General features: G+C 37.0%; 1 long non-coding RNA gene across 2 annotated transcripts in view; it reads left to right on the forward strand.

Moving 5' to 3' along the window:
- Positions 1–4,741: 4,741 nt before the first annotated feature.
- Positions 4,742–21,042, forward strand: part of LINC02334 (long intergenic non-protein coding RNA 2334) — a 131,124-nt gene continuing 114,823 nt past the window's right edge. For both annotated transcript variants that reach the window (XR_941880.4, XR_941877.3), the window contains exon 1: positions 4,742–5,331. This is a non-coding gene — a long non-coding RNA (long intergenic non-protein coding RNA 2334). The remainder of the gene's footprint in view (positions 5,332–21,042) is intronic.

Below are 21,042 nucleotides of genomic sequence, written 5' to 3' on the forward strand. Positions count from 1 at the left end.
TTCCCTAAGAGCTCTTCAGTGCCCCAAGCTTTGGTTATCTCATGCACACCTGGAAATTGGTTGATAGGAAGTCAAGCCAGGCTGAATGGTAGAAAAAGGGTTCACACATTAGCCGGGTCAAACAGGCAAGAAATTAAATCACAATGTCCAATAAAAGTTTTGGAAAAATATTGCCCAGGTAATTTGGAAAGGGAAAAGTGCCAGAAATTGATCTGAAAAGTATACTGTTCATGGCTGTTAACACTGTCTTTACCATGAAAACTATAATAGTTAATTCCTGGAAGTCATTTGAGTAAGATAGATACTGAGATATATTTAAAGGCAAATAAAACATATTGTTTAGAAGATATATGCCATTATCATAATGGCATATATAAATACATACATAAATATAGACAGCAAAAAAGCAGAAAGTCAAAGCTTTCCTTCTTTAGAGAAAACTTACTTGACTTTTTGCATTTAGTGTGTTGGGTAGAAATTACATTATATGCACAAACGGTTACTTCTTGATTTTAAAATCTTCACCTATATTTGTTATTATCTATTATGAAAAATACTTTACCCACGTCATATCCTGAAATCATACCTCCTTCCCCCAATGACTTTTTAAACTTTACGTAGTTGTTTTTAGTCTGTTGATGATTGTCTAGAAATTTAAGAATTACCTTGATATTTATATCAGTTCAAGAACTTTAGTTCCTCATCTTCCTTCCACATAAGAAGAAACAATATATCCTTTATTTCCATCTACTTCTTTGCTCACACGTCATCACTCATCTTCTCTCATCTGTGACCCTACTTTTATGTACTCAAAATTTAGAACATTTATATTGTCTTTTTTACATTTAAAAAAAGATGTCCTTTTTTTCCTGTAGTAATCACTCTCCATTGGGAGCAATTCTGATTCCCAAGTCCCCACTGCAAAGGGATATTTGGCAATGACTGGAGACATTTGAGATCGTTGCAACTAGAGTGCTAAAAACATCTAGCTGCTAGAGGCCAGGGATGCTGTCAAATATCACACTGGATATTCCCCCATTTCAAAGAATGCCGATAGTGCTAAGTTTGAGAAACCATTTCTTCTGAAAACTGAAAACCAACAGGAGCTTTTTAAAGTAACACCAGGTAATAAGTTCTATGCTGTTCAAAGGAGGATCTTAAAACCACCAAGATTCAATAAAATTCATTTTCTTGAACTCGATCATTGAATAAAAATCATGCCACGTTGCTTGCTATTTGGACCATATTTTCTTATACATTTTGCTATTTCTGGAATTTTTAATTGCTTATCTTTATCTCATTGAAGGAAGAAATGCATGCTTTTTAAATCACAGCACTAGGATTATGCAGCTTCTTGATAAAAGGTCAGTTTTGTACAGATTGCTTATTATGACTGCTGCACAGCTGTCATTTGGGATCTTTTTTTTTCCTCTTACTTCTCTCCAATTTGCTTAGATTTGTCATCTTCATTTCTTAGATTCCTTTTTCATTTTGCTGATACAGAGTATTGTATAATTACTTCAAGAAAAATGTATAAGAGAGAAAAATTTTGCATAGCTTTATATTTGATCGTTTAATAGATTATAGAATCCCAGTTTCGAAACTGTTTATCACAAAACTTTTGAGATAATATTTCTTTGTCATTAAGTACCCATTGATCCCGAAAAAAGGTATCAGGTTAATCTCATTCTAATTTCTTTGGGGTCATCCCCCCCACCAGCTTCAAAACTTTTGGAGCTTCTCTTTAGCCTTGGTTGTAGTAATTAGGTTCTTTTTATATGCAACTAAAGGATGCAAGATTTAATTAACGTAAAAGGCCTTTATATGTTTCACATAAAACAAAATATAAACATAGATGCTTCTGGGGTTGATTTGAGCGTTTGGAGCTAGCTTTTCTCAGATCCTCTAGGCTATATCCATATTCTTCCTCCTTCTCCTCTTTCTCCTCCCTCTTAGTCTTCACCCTCTTCATTCTCTTTCTCTTTCTCCTCTTCTTCCCCTCTCTCTTTCTCTTAGTCAGAAAAAAAAATATTTCCCACAGAATCTCCTGTAGCCAACTTCTCCCTTTTCATTTAATTGGTCATAATGGGCAAACATCTTCATTCCATCATTAAACAAGTAAAAGGCTTATCTCCTGTGGTTGAAAGGTCACTGAACTTGTCTTAAGATATTGCTTCCCATTAGATATATGAACAAATTCAGATTCTTCTCAGTAAGGAGAGATAAGTAAATGACAGTGTCTACTTCGTTCTGTTTTCAGATTTGGTAAGTAAATGGCAATGTCATACATAGTATTTTGAAATTTTATTTCAACATCATGTATCAGCTGTTTTTCATTTTTTTAAATTTGTATAAATGTAAGGGGTACAAGTGCAATTTTGTTGCATATGTTGTGTAGTGGTAAAGTCTTGGTTTTTAGCATCAACATCAAACAAATAATGTACATTATAATCATTAAGTAAATCCTCAGTATTCAATGGTTCTGTTCAGTCTAAAAAGCATATTTTTGTTTGTGTTCTACAATTAATCTCCCTATAATTTTTTGTCCTCTTTTTGTGGAAGTACTAGTAGAGAGATATTAGTCCTTTGGACTGGTTCTCTTTGCTTTTTTTTTCTCAAAATTTTTCATATCTCTTTTTTTAACCATGTTCTAAGAAAATTCTAATCTTTTTTCTTACTTTCTTTTGATTTTTAATTATGTTGACTAATTTCAATACCATGAAGTCCCTGCATTGCTCCTTTCTCAATGTAAGTTGTTCTTATATTAGTGTAAGAGAATCTTGAGTCTGTCATAGAACACTAATAAAGATTTATTTAAGTTCTATTTTATTCCCTAAATTATCATTGTTTGCTATAGGTTGAGTAACTTGGTCACACGCTTTCATGCTGAGAATTTTTTCCACCTCTTAGTTAATATCAAAACGGTAATCCCATGGATAGCTGTGTTTTGTTTTGCCCTTTTTCTCCTGCTCTTCCTTGCCTCTGCATGAAGAAGAAGGTACATATACCCCAAGCTCTAAGCATGAGGGTAGGGGATAACAGCCAGCAGTCACACCCCATACCACCACTAGTGCCACAGAGGAGGACCCTATTCTAGGACACCAAAACCCACTCTGAAAGATTTATCTACTTCCAAAAGACCACTGCATTTTTGTAGAAGATTTTCTCTACTTTTGGCTGAAATCAAAAGTTGATATATGTAATGTGTATTTGTTGATTTGAGGAGTGGTTTGAAGGATGTGACAGACAGTAGTTCAATCAGTCACTTCCATTACTACCTTACTCCCAAAACTCACTCTTTAAATAAATCTTCTGAATCTAAGGACAAGACTGGGAAAAATGACCCCAACCTCCCCACAAGACCTCTCTCCTTATGATATCTGTGACTTTCTCCACCACAGTAATCCATAAATCATACCACAGTAGACTTCTGTCATCCTGAAATTTATCACAATCTTTAGTTTGTTCATGTCTTCTGTGCCCATTCACATTAAAAAATAAAAACACACAATCTTGTACTTAGCTGACACTTGAATGATTATTGGGGAGACATGGAAAATAAAAACTGTTGTTTTCCTACAGTATTGGAAAGGAACTCATGGTATAGGTAACTTTATTGGCTGCACATCAAGCTGTGAGAACAGATTATTGAATTCATAGGTTATACAATTTTGCATGGTCATGCAAGACCATTATAAACTCACAATTCTATTCCTTACTCAAATATCAAGCCCACGTCAATCCAGTCCTGGTTATATCTGCTCCTTATAGCATGATTCCATCTCCTTATGCAACTTTCTTCCTCAAATTTTCCATGTATTTATATAGGTATCCATTCATTCATTTATGTGCCATACATGTATTGAACTGCTCACATGCACCTGTTTTTCTGTTGGACATTATTGAGTTATCCATGAATAAGGCACATCCCTGATAAACTAACATTAACATGCAGCAAAACTGGCATGGAGAATGATTATTATATAGAGCATGACAAATGCTCTAATAAAGTTATGAACATAGTGCAGTGGGAGATGATTACCCTTCACTGGCTATTGTTCTTGTGTAAATAAGGCCACATTACTGAGGGCTTTAGTAATATTTTATTATTTAAATGTTTTCATGTTCTTAAAATGTCTGCTAGTGGAAGAGTTTTATTTTAGAAACAAATCTGCTCTGATCATTTAAAAGAAAAAATAGAGCAGGCAGTGTGATCCAGTGGAACAAGCTCTGAAGAGTAGAGTTCCATCATGTCACTAACTTACTACATTGCTGAGAATAAATCATTTTACTACTTTTGGCTTCAGTTGCTTCATCTGTAAAATAAGGACTTTCTCTAAGTAATCTCTAATGATCTTTTCTGGATTAGTAATTTAGGGGTGGTTGTACCTTCAGCCACCTGTACAGTATCTGCCCTCCCAGATGCCCAGGTGAAAATACTTATTCCCAGCTCCAAAAAGATGGATGTGGGATCTGGAATCCCTAGGAAAGGGCAGTTTTGGAGTACCCTTAGGCTGAGCTTCCTGACTTCATAGATGTCTTTCTTCAGCCAGAAATAGTTACAGGAATTGCCACATGCATTCTTCCATCTGGAGACCAGGACACTGGAGGCAGCAGCTTGCAGCACAAGGAGAATGGAGAAGGTCCTGAGATGCCCACACTCAGGCCCTGACACTGAAGCAGGATGTTTCTCTGACTCATTCACGGGATTCGTGACAGGTGTGCCTCCTTTACCAAGCCCATTGCTCTCAACTCCTCACAGGAGGGAGCACACAAGCAAACAAGACGGGAACTGGAGTACAGGGGCGCTGGAACCAGCCAGCGAACTCCCTGCAGGCCCCGCGGCACTTTCGGGGGCGGGGGATGGTGCCTGCGATCCCCAAAACCCCAAAGGGCGTTTTTTACAGTGCTCTTTTAGCTCTGCTGACCGCGGATGGCTTAAGTGTTAACAGCTCAGTGGGCCCTTTGCCTTTTCTCATGAGTCGGCTGCCCTGTGCCAGCAAGGGCAAAGGGCCAGTGTAACAGCCTTTTGTATCTGCACTCGTGGCTCCTGAGCTCCTGTTCGGCACACAGGAAAAATGAGGTCGCACCAACAAACTGAAGGATGGTAAATGTTGAGGATTTTATTGCCAATGAAAGCGGCTGTCACTGGGAGCTGAAAAGGTAATGGAAAGCTGAAAAGCGGATAAGGTGGGTAGGTACCTGAAGTCTGGCCATCTACGGCAGCTGGATTCTTCTCCAAAGTTATACTGTCAAGCTGTCCCTCTGAAGCCAAGCCACTTCTCTTTGACATCCAGCCGTAGTCTCTGCTCCTCTCCAACTGAGTATGAGGTATTTATAGGCACAGGTTGGGGAGTGGGGGCGGTGGGGGGGGGGTTGGGGTGCAGGCGGTGGATGGTGGGGGGGCGGGCATGGGTGATTTAGGGAAAGGCAACACTCAGGTGGGAAAACAGGGATACAAATTCTCGCTTTGGGCTGCAGTTTCAGGCTTTTCAGCTTGAGGGTGGGGTTTTCACCAGGGACCTGCCGTTTTCTGCCTGGAATTTATCTATCTCCTGTCCCTATCACTACTTGTTCTTCTGGAAAGGCCCTTGGCCAGATGAAGACACGGCATTATGCTGAGAAAACCTTAAATGGAAGATGCTGATTTGGAATTGGACTGAGTTGTATTTGTCCTGAGCTTAAGGCAAACGTTTTAAAGCTGTGAGATATTCCACACTCAGCTGAATCTGAACTCCTCTTACCTTTTTCTCCTTAAATCCTCTTAAAGCTTTCTAACATTTTATATATTTTACCCACTGAGAGTATCTTCCAAAGATAACCTGAATTTTCTTATGAATGATTTTAGAGTGTCTTTTGATGATTAGAGTTCAGATCCTTTAACATGGTCTTTGCATTAAAGGTATGTAAGTTCAACATTTCTCTTACCTGTAAACAATATAGCTGTCAAGGTGCCAAGAATTCCTTTGTCCATCACCACAATTGAACTAAAGGCCAGATATACAAGTATACTCTCTTCATCTTTTCCATTAAAAATTCTACAATACATTATAGAATATAAAGGTTGTTATGGAGAGAGGAAGAAACTGAAATGGGAAGGAATTTTTTAATATTACACATGTGGAGAAGGGGTTTATTTTCTCTATATACATTTTTGTAAAATGTACTCATCGAAATGGACTTGGGACATCATAGCTCCTATTTCCATGATAGTGATAGTCATCATGAGGTCTGTAGTTTTCTAAGATTTTGGTAGCTATACTGATTAGTCCTCACAGAAAGCCTTAGAAAATTATAACCCGTAAGGTGACAATGCTAACACCAGCAAAAATTCATACTGATTCTGTTTAAGACTGTGACAGAAAGACCGTGGCTGGTCTGGCTGGGTTGGATTTAATTTGGGTGAGCAGAGTGAGCACCGTCTCCTAGCTGGAAGTAGAGCTGAGGTGAAACAGAGAAAGTGAACAAATAAATCTTTAAGAGGGGTCTGAGGAGGGAGTGAGACCAACAAAAATCAGGGACACAGAGAAACGGCATCATTGGTTGCCAGCACGAGGGTGAGGATCTGAGATGGATATCAGTAACTGGATCTGAGACGGGTATCAGTAACTGGAATATGAGTCCACAAATGAAAGACTGGACAAATGAAAAGCAGACCCAATAGTTGGAATGGGCAAGGAGGAGGATGCTAAGGTTGAATTCTAGATTTAGGCTCTTTCCCAATGCTTATTCATTTGCTCTCTTTGGCTGTCTGACTCCATTTTAAAAGGTCAGGAGAGGTGTTTACAATAATGTGCCGAGATCTTATATGATGAGAGGACTGGACACTAGCAGAACAATTCTTCTGAGAAGAAAACAGTTTTGGGAGTCTGAGTCACAGAAAGATCTGATGGATAACATAGTCTTACCAAGCATAAATTTAAATCCCAAGTGGAACAAAATGGCTCTCAAAAAGGCTGTAAAAATTATATAGGTGTCAGAGAACAATGTTTGTAACAAGTAGAGTACAGGAAAGTAGCTAAAGCTGAAAATAATAATAATTAAAGGAAATCCCAATGGTCAAGATGAGGCCCAGCTTCAATGAAATTTGAGAAATAACAAGACTAGAAATTGGGGCATATATGTCAAAGGTGAATTCTTTCTTTCTCTTTTATATTCTAAATTATGCGAAGGATAATAGGTTTATACTTGTGGTAAGAGACGAAAATAGAGCCCTGCACATGTGGTAGCACTTAATGGCAAGATCAAAACAATAGCAATGAGGATAGGATTTTCAAATATTAGAGGGTCTCCCTTCTGTACTTGTGTAGAATACTTTAAATTTCAAAACAAGGAATTTACATGATATGAGAATATGAATTTATTCAATAACGTTAAAAGCATAGATACTCTAATATTTTCAAATTGCATTACAGACAATATGTTATTTGCTCTGTTCCTGCAGCCCGCTCCGCCAGCACACCTATCCATCCCTACAAAACTCCTTTGTAGCTCTGTATGCAAATTATAGCATTTCACCACCACCACTAACTTAGGACTCAAGAATATCCTGCTCCTCTCAATACAAGAGTGTATAGTATGATTGGATCCAGGCCAATCAGAATCCTTCTCTAGATTTTCCATACTAACTCTGTAATGGAACCTATCCTGTAAGCCACCCCTCTGATACCTGTAGGGAGAGTAGAAAGTATATCGATGTTTATCTAGGATGATGCAGACCTAGCACAGCCTACAGCCATGTTCTAAACTTATGGTATAAAGCTGTGTGGAGAAGATACTATTGCCAATGCCCAGTGAAGAAGGGACAGAAATGGAGAGGGGCTAGATAGAAGCTAGCGTACTTTTAAGTCCCTAAATCCTGGTGTTTCTTATACAAACACCACTTCTATACTTTAGAGTTGATGAAACAGGTGTGGTGGCTCATGCCTGTAATCCCAGCACTTTGAAAGGCCAAGGCAGGCAGATCACCTCAAGTCAGGGGTTTGAGACCAGCCTGGCCAACGTGGCAAAACCCTGTCTCTACTAAAAATACCAAAATTAGCCAGGCGTTGGGGTGCAGGCCCATAGTCCCAGCTACTCAGGAGGCTGAGGCAGAGAAATCGCTTGAACCCAGCAGGTGGAGGTTGCAGGGAGCTGAGATCGTACCACTATATTCCAGCCTGGGCAACAGTGAGACTCTGTCTCAAAAGAAAAAAAGAAAGTTAATGAAACTCAGTATTACTCCTCTCCTTTTTTTCTTTTACTAAAACTAGTAAATCAAATTTAAATAAGATTATTACTTGTAAATAAAAAATATTGTAAAGAAATAGTACCATTTAGGCAAATGATTGCTTCTGAAGAGACTGCATTTTGTGATTTATACCAGAGTAAATTATATGAGAGCCAAATAATCACAGTAAATACAGTACAATGTCTTTATGACACTGATGAGGTCCTATTGGTAAAAACATTAATTTGGTGCCTTTTATAGGTGAGGTTGAGCATAAAATTAAGGAGGCAAACAAATAAATGAAAAACAAGCAATAGCCTTTCTTACATATAAAATTGATTTGTTTACCTCTAAATAAAACATTCATTACCAAAGTTCTTACTCTATTAAACCTGTTAATTGTCTTCTCCTGTGCCTCCATGATTTGTACTTCAGAGATAATGTGGAAGAAAGTTGAACTCTTAATTTATAATTCATCTTAAAATGGTAGTTTCCCATGGTTAAGGTATCTCGGCTTATTTACATTGCCAAAACTGGATGTTCCTTTGTAGCAAGTTCTAAACAGCTATTTTGTGAAGTTTAGGGTCACTGGTAATTTTGTGGGATCACTTGTCAGAATTCTTTTAATGAAAATTTTTCTCAGTGTTTGCAAGCCAGACTGGTCTTTCAGAACTTTGAATCTTGTGTTGAAAATATTTTAATAAACATCTATGATATGTAACGTTTCCATCAAATAATGAAATATTTTCATCTTGCATTTTATCCTCATATTATCAAAGAAATCATAAATTTAACAATTTTTTAAGAGAGTGTAAAAATGTCATCTACTTCCTCAGCATCTGCTAAATTTCAAGCCTTCTTCAGAGTTTGTGGAGTTGACAATAGTAAGGGAAAACTGGATAATAGGAAGAATGGGGAGAAGAGACATATTTACCATTGATTTGTGATAGCACATCGTGGCATGCCCAGGCGCTAGCACAATGCTACATACATATAGCTACTGAGAGATTTTTACCGGGACGTGTGCCCATGTATCAGCTGCCACAGTTTCTTAACTGATTCTCTTTCTGTTCTTTATCATCTGCTTTCTCTGGACAACATTTCTAAGCAAGCCACTCTGAAGAAGTGGTATTTCTGCACATAACATATACAGAAAAATTACACACTATTTGTATTTGTTCACTTTATTATTATGAAATGTAAAGTCATGTGAGTAGGGATTTCGCTTGGTTGGTTCATCACTGTGGTTTTGGGAAGCTACAGTGGTAGTATTCTAGAAGGCTCCCAGAAAGCGATTAATGAATTAATGAGTAAATGAGTTAACAGATACAATCTGAAAGAAAAAAATGGATGCAAAAAACATTAAGACTGAAAATTTCATAATACTGGGTAAGTTACTGAATAGAGTGGGTGAGATAAAGGAAGTTAAAGCTATTTCCAAAAATCATTAGATGGCTGGGAGAATGAGGTCATTAACTGAGGTAGAAAGCATATGTACAGGTGAGAGAAATGGCAGACAAGGTATTTATTTTGAGGGTCTGCCTGGCTGTCCTCATGGAGAAGTCTATTAGATAGGTAGAAAGGCAAGGCTGAAGTATAGGAGAGAAACAGGATCATAAAAGTAAATTGAAGCATTATTATCCTGAAGTTCATTGTTTAAATTTTACATAGATTATTTCTTCTGTCTAGAGTGATTGTTCTTTCTATGCCTTGATAAATGTTCCATTTGTTCTTCACCATCCAGATTGATGGTATTTTTATTTGGGCAGTTCAATTGACAGAAGGATATTTAATCATTTTTCCTTGATACAACCATCATATTTTTCCTTGAACACAGTATTAAACTGATGGCACAGCATTAGAAACAATAAATATATATTTCTATCTGCTCTAATCCTCATCTCCATACACACTTAACCGAAACTGAGGGTAAGAAACACATTTATTATCAAATAGTAGTAATAACACTTTAATAATAATAATAATGAATACACTTTTACAGCTGAATGAGTGAAATTATTAAGTGAAATTGAGGTACTAGCAGTTGAAGAGAAGCTAAGAATAAAAACTAGGAGAAACCCATATTAAAATGGATAAAGAAATGGAACTTATGATTGATGAAAAGAGAATGGTAAAGAAGACTGAGAGGGAGAAGAGGGATAGGAAATGAAGCAAGAAATTTACTTGCTACTTATTATGGAAGGAAAATTCAAGAACAAGGTACCTATAATGTTAAAACATGCAAAGAGTTCAAGAAGTACATTGCCAGAGATACGGCCCATAGGTGCTTAGTGACTCAGGACACTGATAACCTATTAGATGACCTTTTGGTCAAAATAGGAAATAGAATCAAGACCGAAGGTAGAATGGGAAATAAGCAGTAATAAGCATAAGGTGCCCCCGGTCCTTCCAAAAAGTTTAATGGCATGATGAAAAGAGGTGTAATAATAATCTAACCAGCTGTGGTTTCCTTAGGAATGTTACACTTTTATCTTATTTTCAATATTAACTAATATTAATATTAAGATAATTGACATATGTACTTTAAAAGAAGATATCCAATGTAACACAGTGAGATAGAAGGGATAAGTTCTAGCGTTTAATAACATGGTGGGTGACTATAATTAACAAGAATTTAACATCTATTTCAAAATAGCCAGAAGAGAACATTTGAAATGTTCCCAACACAAAGAAATGATAAATGTTTGAGGTCATATAAAATACCCTGATTTGATTAATACACATTGTATGCATGTATCAAAATATAACTATATACCCCGTAAGTCTGTATGAGTATTATGATTCAATTTTAAAAGTTATGAAAATGTTAGGCATGATTATTATGGAAATTAAAACAATACTATATATTTCTAAAAATTCATGTATACATAAGGACTATTCCAAGCACATTAGAGCATGAATCCATGAGGTGAAAGGGAAACCGAAATAAGTAAGGACAAGGCAAAGAAAAACTAATGAAAGAAAATATAAAACAAAAACAAGACAGCGGCTCCACATGGGCCAGTAATACAAGTTTATCATGCACAGGGGTCAATATAAGTAACTCAGCCCAATGGATCTGGTGCACATATGGGGAAAACCAGAGATGTAAGTAAGTAAAAGTCTCAACACTCATGGTTGCCAGGACCCTGGAGCTATTGCGGTTCTCTCTTCAATTGCTTTCGACCTCTTTCGGATTTTCTAACATACAATACACCAACCTTCACTAGAAAGAAAGAAAGAAATCCAATGTGAAAAAAAGAGATCAGAACTTCAAGAGAAAGATGCATTTAGTGGAACAAAACCCCAGAGGATATAGGGGAGGAGAGGAATATAAACAAAAGGAGGAGGAAAGAGAGATTTGAATGAATTTAGAAGAGAGAATGAAAAAGAAGAAAGAGTCAAACTAAAGAGACCTTTTAATCTGCTGGAATTAAAAATTGGCATTGTATGAAATTATAATTTTTAAATCAATGCTATTAGACAGATACAATGGCAATAATTTTCTGTGTGAAAAAGATTTCCAGTTAGATGTGAACAGAAACACACGAATAATAATAATCTTCCTATGATATAATGGAAATAAAGTCAAAGTTTTAATGACATTTACAAAATCTTTCAGAAGCCCAGAGTACCCCTTTGAGCTTTTGATTATCTTAGTATTTTAATATTATAATTACAGCATGTCAGTACTCTATTTAAAATGTAATTATCAAAGCTCAGAGGAAACTGATTCTTATGCATCCATAATTTTATACAATATAATTTTAGAGCTTGAGCTATTTTTATGTTATCATTTTAATCATAGAAATAGTAGTTAGGTTGAAAGTCTAGGGACTTGTATATTTCTTTTTCAATGGGTTTTTAAAGATAATCTTTACTTTTAAAGTGGCCTTGTCACGGAGTATACATTTATCTACAATAAATCAAATTGCTTCTGTTCAAATGGTTCATACAGTTTTCACAAACATATCTTAACAACAAAACTATATCCTACAAAAATATGTTTTATCAAATTCTTTCAGAGAAGCCATTTTTTTTCTACAAGAATTAGGAGGATATTTTAGAATGTATTGACAGGGATGCTTTATTGATTTCATTCCAGTATCTGCTTAACAGTCATCTCAACAAGACCTTCTCTGGCTGTCCTATTAAAAATAGCCTCTCAAGAAAACATAAGCTCCTTGACAGCTAGGGTTTTGCCTTTTTCGCCAAAGTATACCTGGGACCTGAAAAGAGGTTCTTGCATGCAGAATAAACAACTCTTATAGAATATATGATGTATACTTATGATTATTTTGGTGGGTTGGAAGTGAAATTTAGAAATTTAAAAAATTTCCTAGGTGTTTGACATGATCAGTCAGAATGAGAAAGCGCTCAACCAAAGCAATATCTAATTCCTTTTTAAAATAAAGAATTGTGTAGCCCCTCCCTCTGTTCCTCCCTTCCTCCCTCCCTTCCTCTCTTCCTTCCTTCCTTCCTTCCTCCTATACATGTTATTAAGAATGCTAAATACTAGACATCGTGGATACCAAAACCAAATAACAAATCGTCTCTGCCCTTAAAATGCATACAGTTAAGCAGTGCACATTTTCACCCTTTGAGAATAGATATGCTTTTTTCAGAGAGTTAAAGATGAACAAATAACATGATGAAACTGGTGAATACAGTGTGTGTTTATGTGTATTGTGTGTGTGTGTGTGTGTGTGTGTTTTACAAAATGAAGCGTGAGTGAAGCAATGAAGCTAATGTTCTCATGAGGTTTAAGACAGATTCAGGGGCATTCCAAAGGAGACATGGGGAACATGTTATGAGAAATAATATATTTTTTGGAATACATGTAAAAAAAAAATTCCCAAATGCTGTGAGCCAGTCTCCCATCTAAGTACCAATCCCCTGTACAAACAAACTCTGCATTCATCAGAAACATATACAGTAGTTTGGTTCCTTGGCCAACTAAGCCTAATTAATTAATTAACTTCTTGAAATAGGTAGGATTCCAGAACTTAGCAACTATGTCTAACAATATTTCCCAGTACACTACATGCAAGAAATAAATAAGATGGCAGGAACCTGAGTACACATTTCCTAACAACTCTGGCCCAGGGAAGAGTTATCTTCTCTTTGTATCTTCCTTGCTGAACAGTTCTCATCACAGGTCTCAGCACAGCCTAAGTAAGTCAAAGCAGGGTTCACAGCAAGGCAGTGATTGACACACAATAAGGCAGAGCAGAGGGAAGGGATCCTTCCTTTGTGCCCTTTGCCACCATTCTTTCTTTGAAGGCATCCCTCTTCTGCACCAAGATAATCCATTCTAAATCAAGATGAGAAGGGGGATCTAGGGCTAGAGTGAAGACTGGAGTTGCTCTGTGCTGGTAAAAGGGAATAAAATGGTGATGGGAGAAAAGGTAGGTTATCCACACTGACAGCAAGTAGAATCTGCCATTTTGAGTAAATACACACAGGATTCGAGAGCTACTCATATTTCATGGGACAAAATTCAACAGGATGTGTAAGTTCAAGTGTGCATACTAACAGCCAGCTTCACATTATAACACCTCATTGTAGCATTGGGAGTGATAAATCTATTTTCCATTAAAAATAAAACATATGAAGAAAACCTATTTTTTAGGTCACACTAAAGGAGAAACATTCAATTAAAGAAAGGAGTTCTCTCTTATTTTGTCTAAGGGTTGCTGTACAGCTTTAAGTCACATTTCCCTACCACACACCAAAGTGGAATAACAGAAATTTCCAGGAGCATTTGGTTTTCAAAAATTGTCAACGTAAGAGTCAGAAATAGGTATTGATGTCAAAGGGTAAAACAACCCCTAAATTTACCTCATCTTTATGCTCCCCTAGTGGGTTCCTTATCTTATATTTGTCCTATTGAAATTGAAATGATACTGAATTTAACTGAGTCTATTGGGCCATCCACAAGACTAAGATTCTTGAGGGCTGAACCAGTAGTGTACTGATAAGACAGCTCTGGAGTGTGGGAGTTCTGATTTGTGCCATTCCCCATTTCATTGCTATTAGAGTTTCTGCCATTGCCTGATTTCAAGTTTTCAAAGATTTATCAATAATATAATTTCTGAATATGTAACTATTGGCTCCAGTACATGACAGGCTGAGACAGAGTCTTTGCATCATCTCCTAACACACGGTTGGCAACACTGTTATGCGGTAAGCATTTGCTGAGTTCTAGTTGAGGAAGTTTTAAAATAATCCTCAGAGACTATTAGCTTTTCCAGTTCCTCAACTGTTTTACCTCAGGGCACACCACCTTTTATGAAACCAATTTTACTTTCTCGAGCCAATAGCATCCCCTTTTATAGCCTGTGAAAGATGAGAAGATAGAGGTTTAAGGAGTGTCCGAGGTACTACATCACAAAGTCCATGGGTATTTCCAAAGGTAGTCAATTTCAAAGCCTGCTTTGAAGGTTAATGCAAGCTGACTTTACATCACTACAAGAGTAGCAGTTATTCATACAAATGGTTTATCTCGAGATTTCCCTTAACTAAAATTTTTATAGCTGAGTGCAAATCGGTAAGAAGAGTATGTTTGTTTCTGAAGAAAACAAAGCATATATTGAGAGATTTAAATAACCTGGGATGTGTTTAATGTTATATTTGCTGCCATTTGTTTTACAGATTAAAACAGTCTCCAAAAGACTAAATTGAACAAGTTAGGCAGTTGCAGCAGAATGAAGATTAGAGCCCTTGTCTGACTAATTTCCAAGCCTTTGTTTCTGTGGCCAGGAGATAAAAAGAATAGCTGTGCCATAGAAGCTGGATAGGGGTCTAACGCAGACTTCGTCTCCCCTCTGCCTAGTTCCACTGAGTTTTCCAGGTTTCTGAATGGGTCAACGTGCAGAGTTTAAGATGTCAAAAGGAAAAGCCGAAGTGTTCATTATGAGAATGGTCACTAAGTAACTACTAGAAAATTTCGCAGGCCTGGAAATCAGGAAGAGGGATGGCAGGGTCCAGGTGTTGTTTCACGGAAAGGGAAATTCAGGGAAAGAATTTGGAGGAAGGCCAGTGCTTTCTGGTGAAAAAAACAGTTGCTTGGAGGCTGCGCTTGGTGGTTTGCGCCTGCAGTTCCAGCTACGGGAGAAGCTGAGGCTGCGATGGAAGGACTGCTTGAGCCCAGAAGGGTGAGGCTGCAGTGAGCCATGATTGCGCCATTGCAGTTTAACCTGGGCCACAGACTGAGACCCTGTATCTTAACAAAACAAAACAAAACAAAACAAAAGGTTGCTTAGAGGATTTTTTTTTTAGTGAGTTTTTCTAGATGTTTAAACGTTGAATGTAATTCTCTCCACACTTGCCCCCTCTGCTGCTTATTTAAGACACTTCATGAAATATCTTCCCTAATTATTATTTAAAGTTTTGAAATGAGATGGATGTTTACTTTAAAATGCATCACCTCAAATGAGACTTGCCTAAATGCGGCCCTGCTTTATTTTGGGTGTTATTAATCATGGGGAAAATGAAGGAGAATTGCACATAATTAGTCCATGGAAGTAGAGAGAACGTCTACTTCCTGGTAAGTATTTGATGCCAGCTAGTTCTATGACTTTATAGTTTAAAAAAAAAAACATGATTATAGATTGTTTCTTAGTCATTTCATTCTAAATACAAATAAAGTGTCTTCATGGGGCTTTGAAAGCATAGAACTTTGTCACGTGTACAAGAGTTATATATGTGACATATAATTTAAAAAATAAATACACACAACTTCTCCTTCTAACTTGAACAGTGGTCACATTCTTCAGTTTAGGAAGAAATTAAGTCACTCACCATGTGTCTATTCTGTCAATGGTATATTTCACTTTACCCTTTTTTCTGCCTGTTAGTCCTTGAGTTTATTAGATTATTTATTGACTAGAAATTCTGGCAGTCATATGAAAGAAGGAATCCAGCCAAGTTTCCTCAAATATTAAAATGAATAGCCTTGGATATGTCAGATGCTAAGTCTCATAGACATTGCCCTTTGAGAAACAAGTTCTTCTTTTTGATTTATGTGCTCATGTACAATAATTTTTCAGGAAATTGATTAAAAATATTTTAAGTATTTCCAAAACATCGCCTGTCAGTTCACAGGCATTGGAAAATGTAAATAGAGCTTTGGAGTCAAATAGCTCAAATATGTCAAACAGCAAATATAAATGAGTACAGTCAGCAGGTGTGTTGTGCCTCCAGCGCCCACATTCATCTTTAAAGTACCCAGGGCTAACTCTGCAGGCCTTACGTATTGAAAGTAACAAAGTGTCTCCTTGTAGATTTCTTTCCTTGCCATTACTGTCAGCATTTAGAGTTCTGCTATCTAAATTTCCATGCATTAAAGTCATTAAATACAAGGCAATGGCCCCAAGGAGAGCCTGCTTTTCTCTGGTTCTCTGGATCTACCTCTGTGCTTGTGTGTGGCTGGGGAGGGCCATGTTGTTTGTTGAGAGCGTTATCATTATGTCAGTGAAGGCATCTAGTCATCATTCCCAGTACCTGGCCCCTCAAATTAAGCTCTTCTCAGCAGCCTTCATGCCAAGGTTTCTTCACTGTCAGCTTTTAGTGGCAGCATAAAGTGAGAAATATGCTGGTGGATTTGATTACAAAAGTGTTAGTATGTCAGAGAGAAATCATTAGACATTTGGAAGCCTAATAATAAAACTGAACATGCAAAACTTTGAGCAGCAAAGCAAACCAAATTTTGGGGTTATTTTCAGAATTTTCTCTTAAATTTTCAGAATTTTATTCTTGGGACATCTGGACTCTATGATGAGAGAAGACAGAATAAAAATGTTAGGTGTGTAGATATGTGAATTTCTCATTATTATAATAGGTTTGATGTTTGCCCACAAAACAAATGTCTATCAATAAAGCTCCCTTTAATTATTCTTAATTTGAAATAAAATATGCATGGTTTTGTCTTGGATAAGGTTTGTTTCTTTCCATGGCATCCCCTTTTATTTCAGGGTGTCTACCTCAATGTTCTTTTTTTTTATTATTATACTTTAAGTTTAAGGGTACATATGCACAACGTGCAGGTTAGTTACATATGTATACATGTTACATATGTATACATGTGCCATGTTGGTGTGCTGCACCCAATAACTCGTCATTTAACATTAGGTATATCTCCAAATGCTATCCCTCCCCCCTCCCCTGACCTCACAACAGGCCCTGGTGTGTGATGTTCCCCTTCCTGTGTCCATGTGTTCTCATTGTTCAATTTCCACCTACGAGTGAGAACATGTGGTGTTTGGTTTTTTGTCCTTGTGATAGTTTGCTGAGAATGATGGTTTCCAGCTTCATCCATGTCCCTACAAAGGACATGAACTCATCATTTTTTATGGCTGCATAGTATTCCATGGTTCTTATAGAGGTGATATCAGCTTATATTTACAAGGCTTCTGAGTCAAGTCTTGTGTCCTTGCTCTTCTTTATTAAAACAATATAAATTGAGTGTTGGTTAATATGCATATAGTGTGGTGGATATTTTTTATCATATTGCTATATATGATTTAATGGCAAGTTAATATACCTGCATTATATCTCTTACACACTGCTGGAGGAACAACAGGATGTCAACAAATAATCTCATTGATAAATGGGAGATACAGAGTAGTCATAGGTGAAACCCTGCTGGTAGTTAGAGATGAGATCATCACCACAACCACTGCTTCTAGCCAGTCATGAAGCTGATGCTAAGTCATGGTTAAGGAGAGCTGGATGTGTGCTGAGTGCTAATCCATCTTGCCTGTTACAAATGGTGGGGAGATTTACAAAACTGCGGCACAGTGATAGACAGAGGCAGTAGGAAATGAAGTCAGAAAGATAAACAGGGGTAGTTAAGAGTTTACATTCATTTTATGTGTGATGAGAAGCCATTGGAAGAAGTATATTTTCTTATTTATATTTGAGAAGGCATATTCTACTTTTGCCTGGACAATAGACTCCATGGGAGCAGGAGTAGAAACAAAGCGACAAGCTAACAAGCTAATTATAATATTCTAGGGTTTGGACCATAGGTGTCTGAGATGGGATGACAGCAGTGAAGATAAGACTTGGTTAGATTCGAAGTATATTTTGAAGCTGAAGTCAATACCGTATCTTTCTTCACGCATTCTCTTCAGGATTTGGGTATACACCAGTACAATTAAACAATAATACTAATATCCCCAGCTCTTATCTACACCAATTCACAAAGTACTTCAAACTTTGAAATTTGTGGGGACCCCAGGAATGCCCTACAAATGCTCACAAATAAATCAGTTTCTACCAAGTGTTTCCATTGTTCTTTACTTCCCTTTCCTTCCCACTTCCCTTCTCTTACATAGGTGTTGATACCAAGAATGTTTATTATTCAACATTCTGTACACTAAAATTCATTTCAGAGTTCCCTTCCACAACCCCAAGATAACATGCAGTTAAACAAAAAGGAGTGAACAAGTCAGGCCTCATGGAATTCAGATGCCAACTGGCTCTAAGGAAAGGAGGATGGGGAGTAGAAGTGATCTAGTATAATTGTTTGTTGTTGTTGTTGTTGTTTTGTTTTAGACAGAGTCTCACTCTGTCACCCAGGCTGGAGTGCAGTGGCACGATCTCGGCTCATTACAACCTCCGACTCCCGGGTTCAAGCAATTCTCCTGTCTCAGCCTCCCGAGCACACACCAACCTGCCCGGCTGATTTTTGTATTTTTAGTAGAGACAGGGTTTCACCATATTGGTAAAGCTGGTCTCGAACTCCTGACCTCAGGTGATCCACTCACCTTGGCCTCCCAAAGTGCTGGGATTACAGGCGTAAGACACCACACCTGGCCGATCTTGCATAATTGTAAAGTTTTCATGGATGCTCTTTCTGAGTATTAGTTCCTAGTTTTTCTCACCTCTAACAGCTTTTCAGTATTAAAATTAACAAACAAATTAAAATGAAACAAAATTAAACAAATCAAAACAAAATGAAACAAAATATCAGAATAAAGCAGCTCAAAATACACTTTCAATGTATCTCCTCCCAATCTATGTTACTCTGATGCAAAGATTAGAAAAAGTAAACTCAGGTGCTTTCATTTGTTTGTAACCATTTTAGATGTGGGTCTCTCTAGACAGAGTAAAATGATTTACTAAAGTTAATTGTACTGCTGTAGATTATGATATTTTTCTATTTTGTTGTCTTATCATGCCTTTCAATGGGCATTGCAAATACAGCTGAGTTAGCTGCCACATCTCCACAACCTCTCTGGCTCTCTGCACTTTCTGCAGGGCCTTTGCCTGCTCCTGTCACACGATGAAGAGCTTCACCTGTCACCTTGGCCTCCTAGTGGAACCTGGGATCAGCCTCTTGGAGATAGCTATTCTTTTCTTTTTTTCTCAGAAATATAACAGATCTGCAGTGGATTTTGGCTTCTTCCCAAAAGCTCAATTTGCCTGCAAGACCCAAATACAGAACTTTCTAACGCACCATACAATATTCTTACATTACAAGAAATATGCCCTCTGCTTTGCCCCCTGTGTTTCAAGTAAACAAGTATATTTTGAAAGTGCACAGATAAACCAATACATCCTGGAGTCACGTCATCCTGGTTCAGGAGAGGACAGGAGAGAGAAGAGTTTAAAAATGTACGCATCTTTTGATTAGAAGTGGTTGAAATTTCAATGAAATCTTACTACATATGATTTTTATTCCTTCTTTCTTTGTTCCCATAGTTTTTGTGAATTAGAATCCCTGGAGATTTTTATGAAGGGCACCTCTTTCCCTCAAATAACCTCTAGGACCAGTTAATATTCTTAAGTCAAGTGAGTCTTTGAGATTCCAGAAAACTGGGGAAGGAGTTTATAGACAAGGAAACCATCTCATCAATCCATCCATCCATCAATCATATATAGATGGAGTACATAATACTTGTGAGACTCTATGTAAACCAAAGTTTTTTTCTGTCCATAATCTTGCCTTAGGAAGAGAAATGGGTTAAAAGACACACAGACAAAGGTGTGCAAGAATCTGTTCTGAGATTCCTTTAGGTATCCCTGGATTCTTTGCAACATAGAACTGATGTGCTTGAATTGTCTTGGTGTAGACATTTTCACTTAATCCACTTTTAGGTATTAAGAACTAGGACTATGTAGACAAATGGATACAGACTCATAAAATATTAATTATACTAATTTACTAAAATTCGTTTGTCATTTGTGTTTATGCACATCACTAAATAAATCAGATCAAGTGTGTTTTAAGTTGTGCTTGCAGATGCCATTTCTTCATTCAGCAGGTATGTAGTGAAGACTTTGTTCTGGGCAAAGGCTGCAGATATGCTAGTGATCAAGTCAAATAGAACTTTGGCCTCATAAAATTTAGTTGTTAACCACTCAGCCTTGAAAATAAATTAGGAATTATATAACCTAATGGGTATTTTTTTAGTCCTGAAATTCTTTATAATCTACTTTGAGACATTCAAAGTATGGTAGCCTTAAGAGATAATAACTTGTAAGAAAAGAACATTCAAACCGTAACTTTATCTCAAAGGCCTCCTTCCCAAAATTTCCAAAGACCCTCAGAATAGATGTCATATTCACAGCAATGTAGATTTAAAAGACTGCTGAAAAGTATAATTATTTTTAAATTGTAAGGTTTTAAATGATAATTTGATAAGAGATGCCTTAAAATTAATGCCTTCAAATTGATGGGATAGGCAAAAGTCGATGTTTAGGTACATATGTCATAAAATATGAGGTATTTATAAAATAAAAGTTACACAATGGAGTGGACATTCAAGATCAGCAGGCTTCTCCATTCTCCTTGGGAGCTTTACAGTTGAAGTGTGTAAATCTAA

This window comes from Homo sapiens, chromosome 13, assembly GCF_000001405.40.
Source record: "Homo sapiens chromosome 13, GRCh38.p14 Primary Assembly".
NCBI lineage: Eukaryota > Metazoa > Chordata > Mammalia > Primates > Hominidae > Homo > Homo sapiens.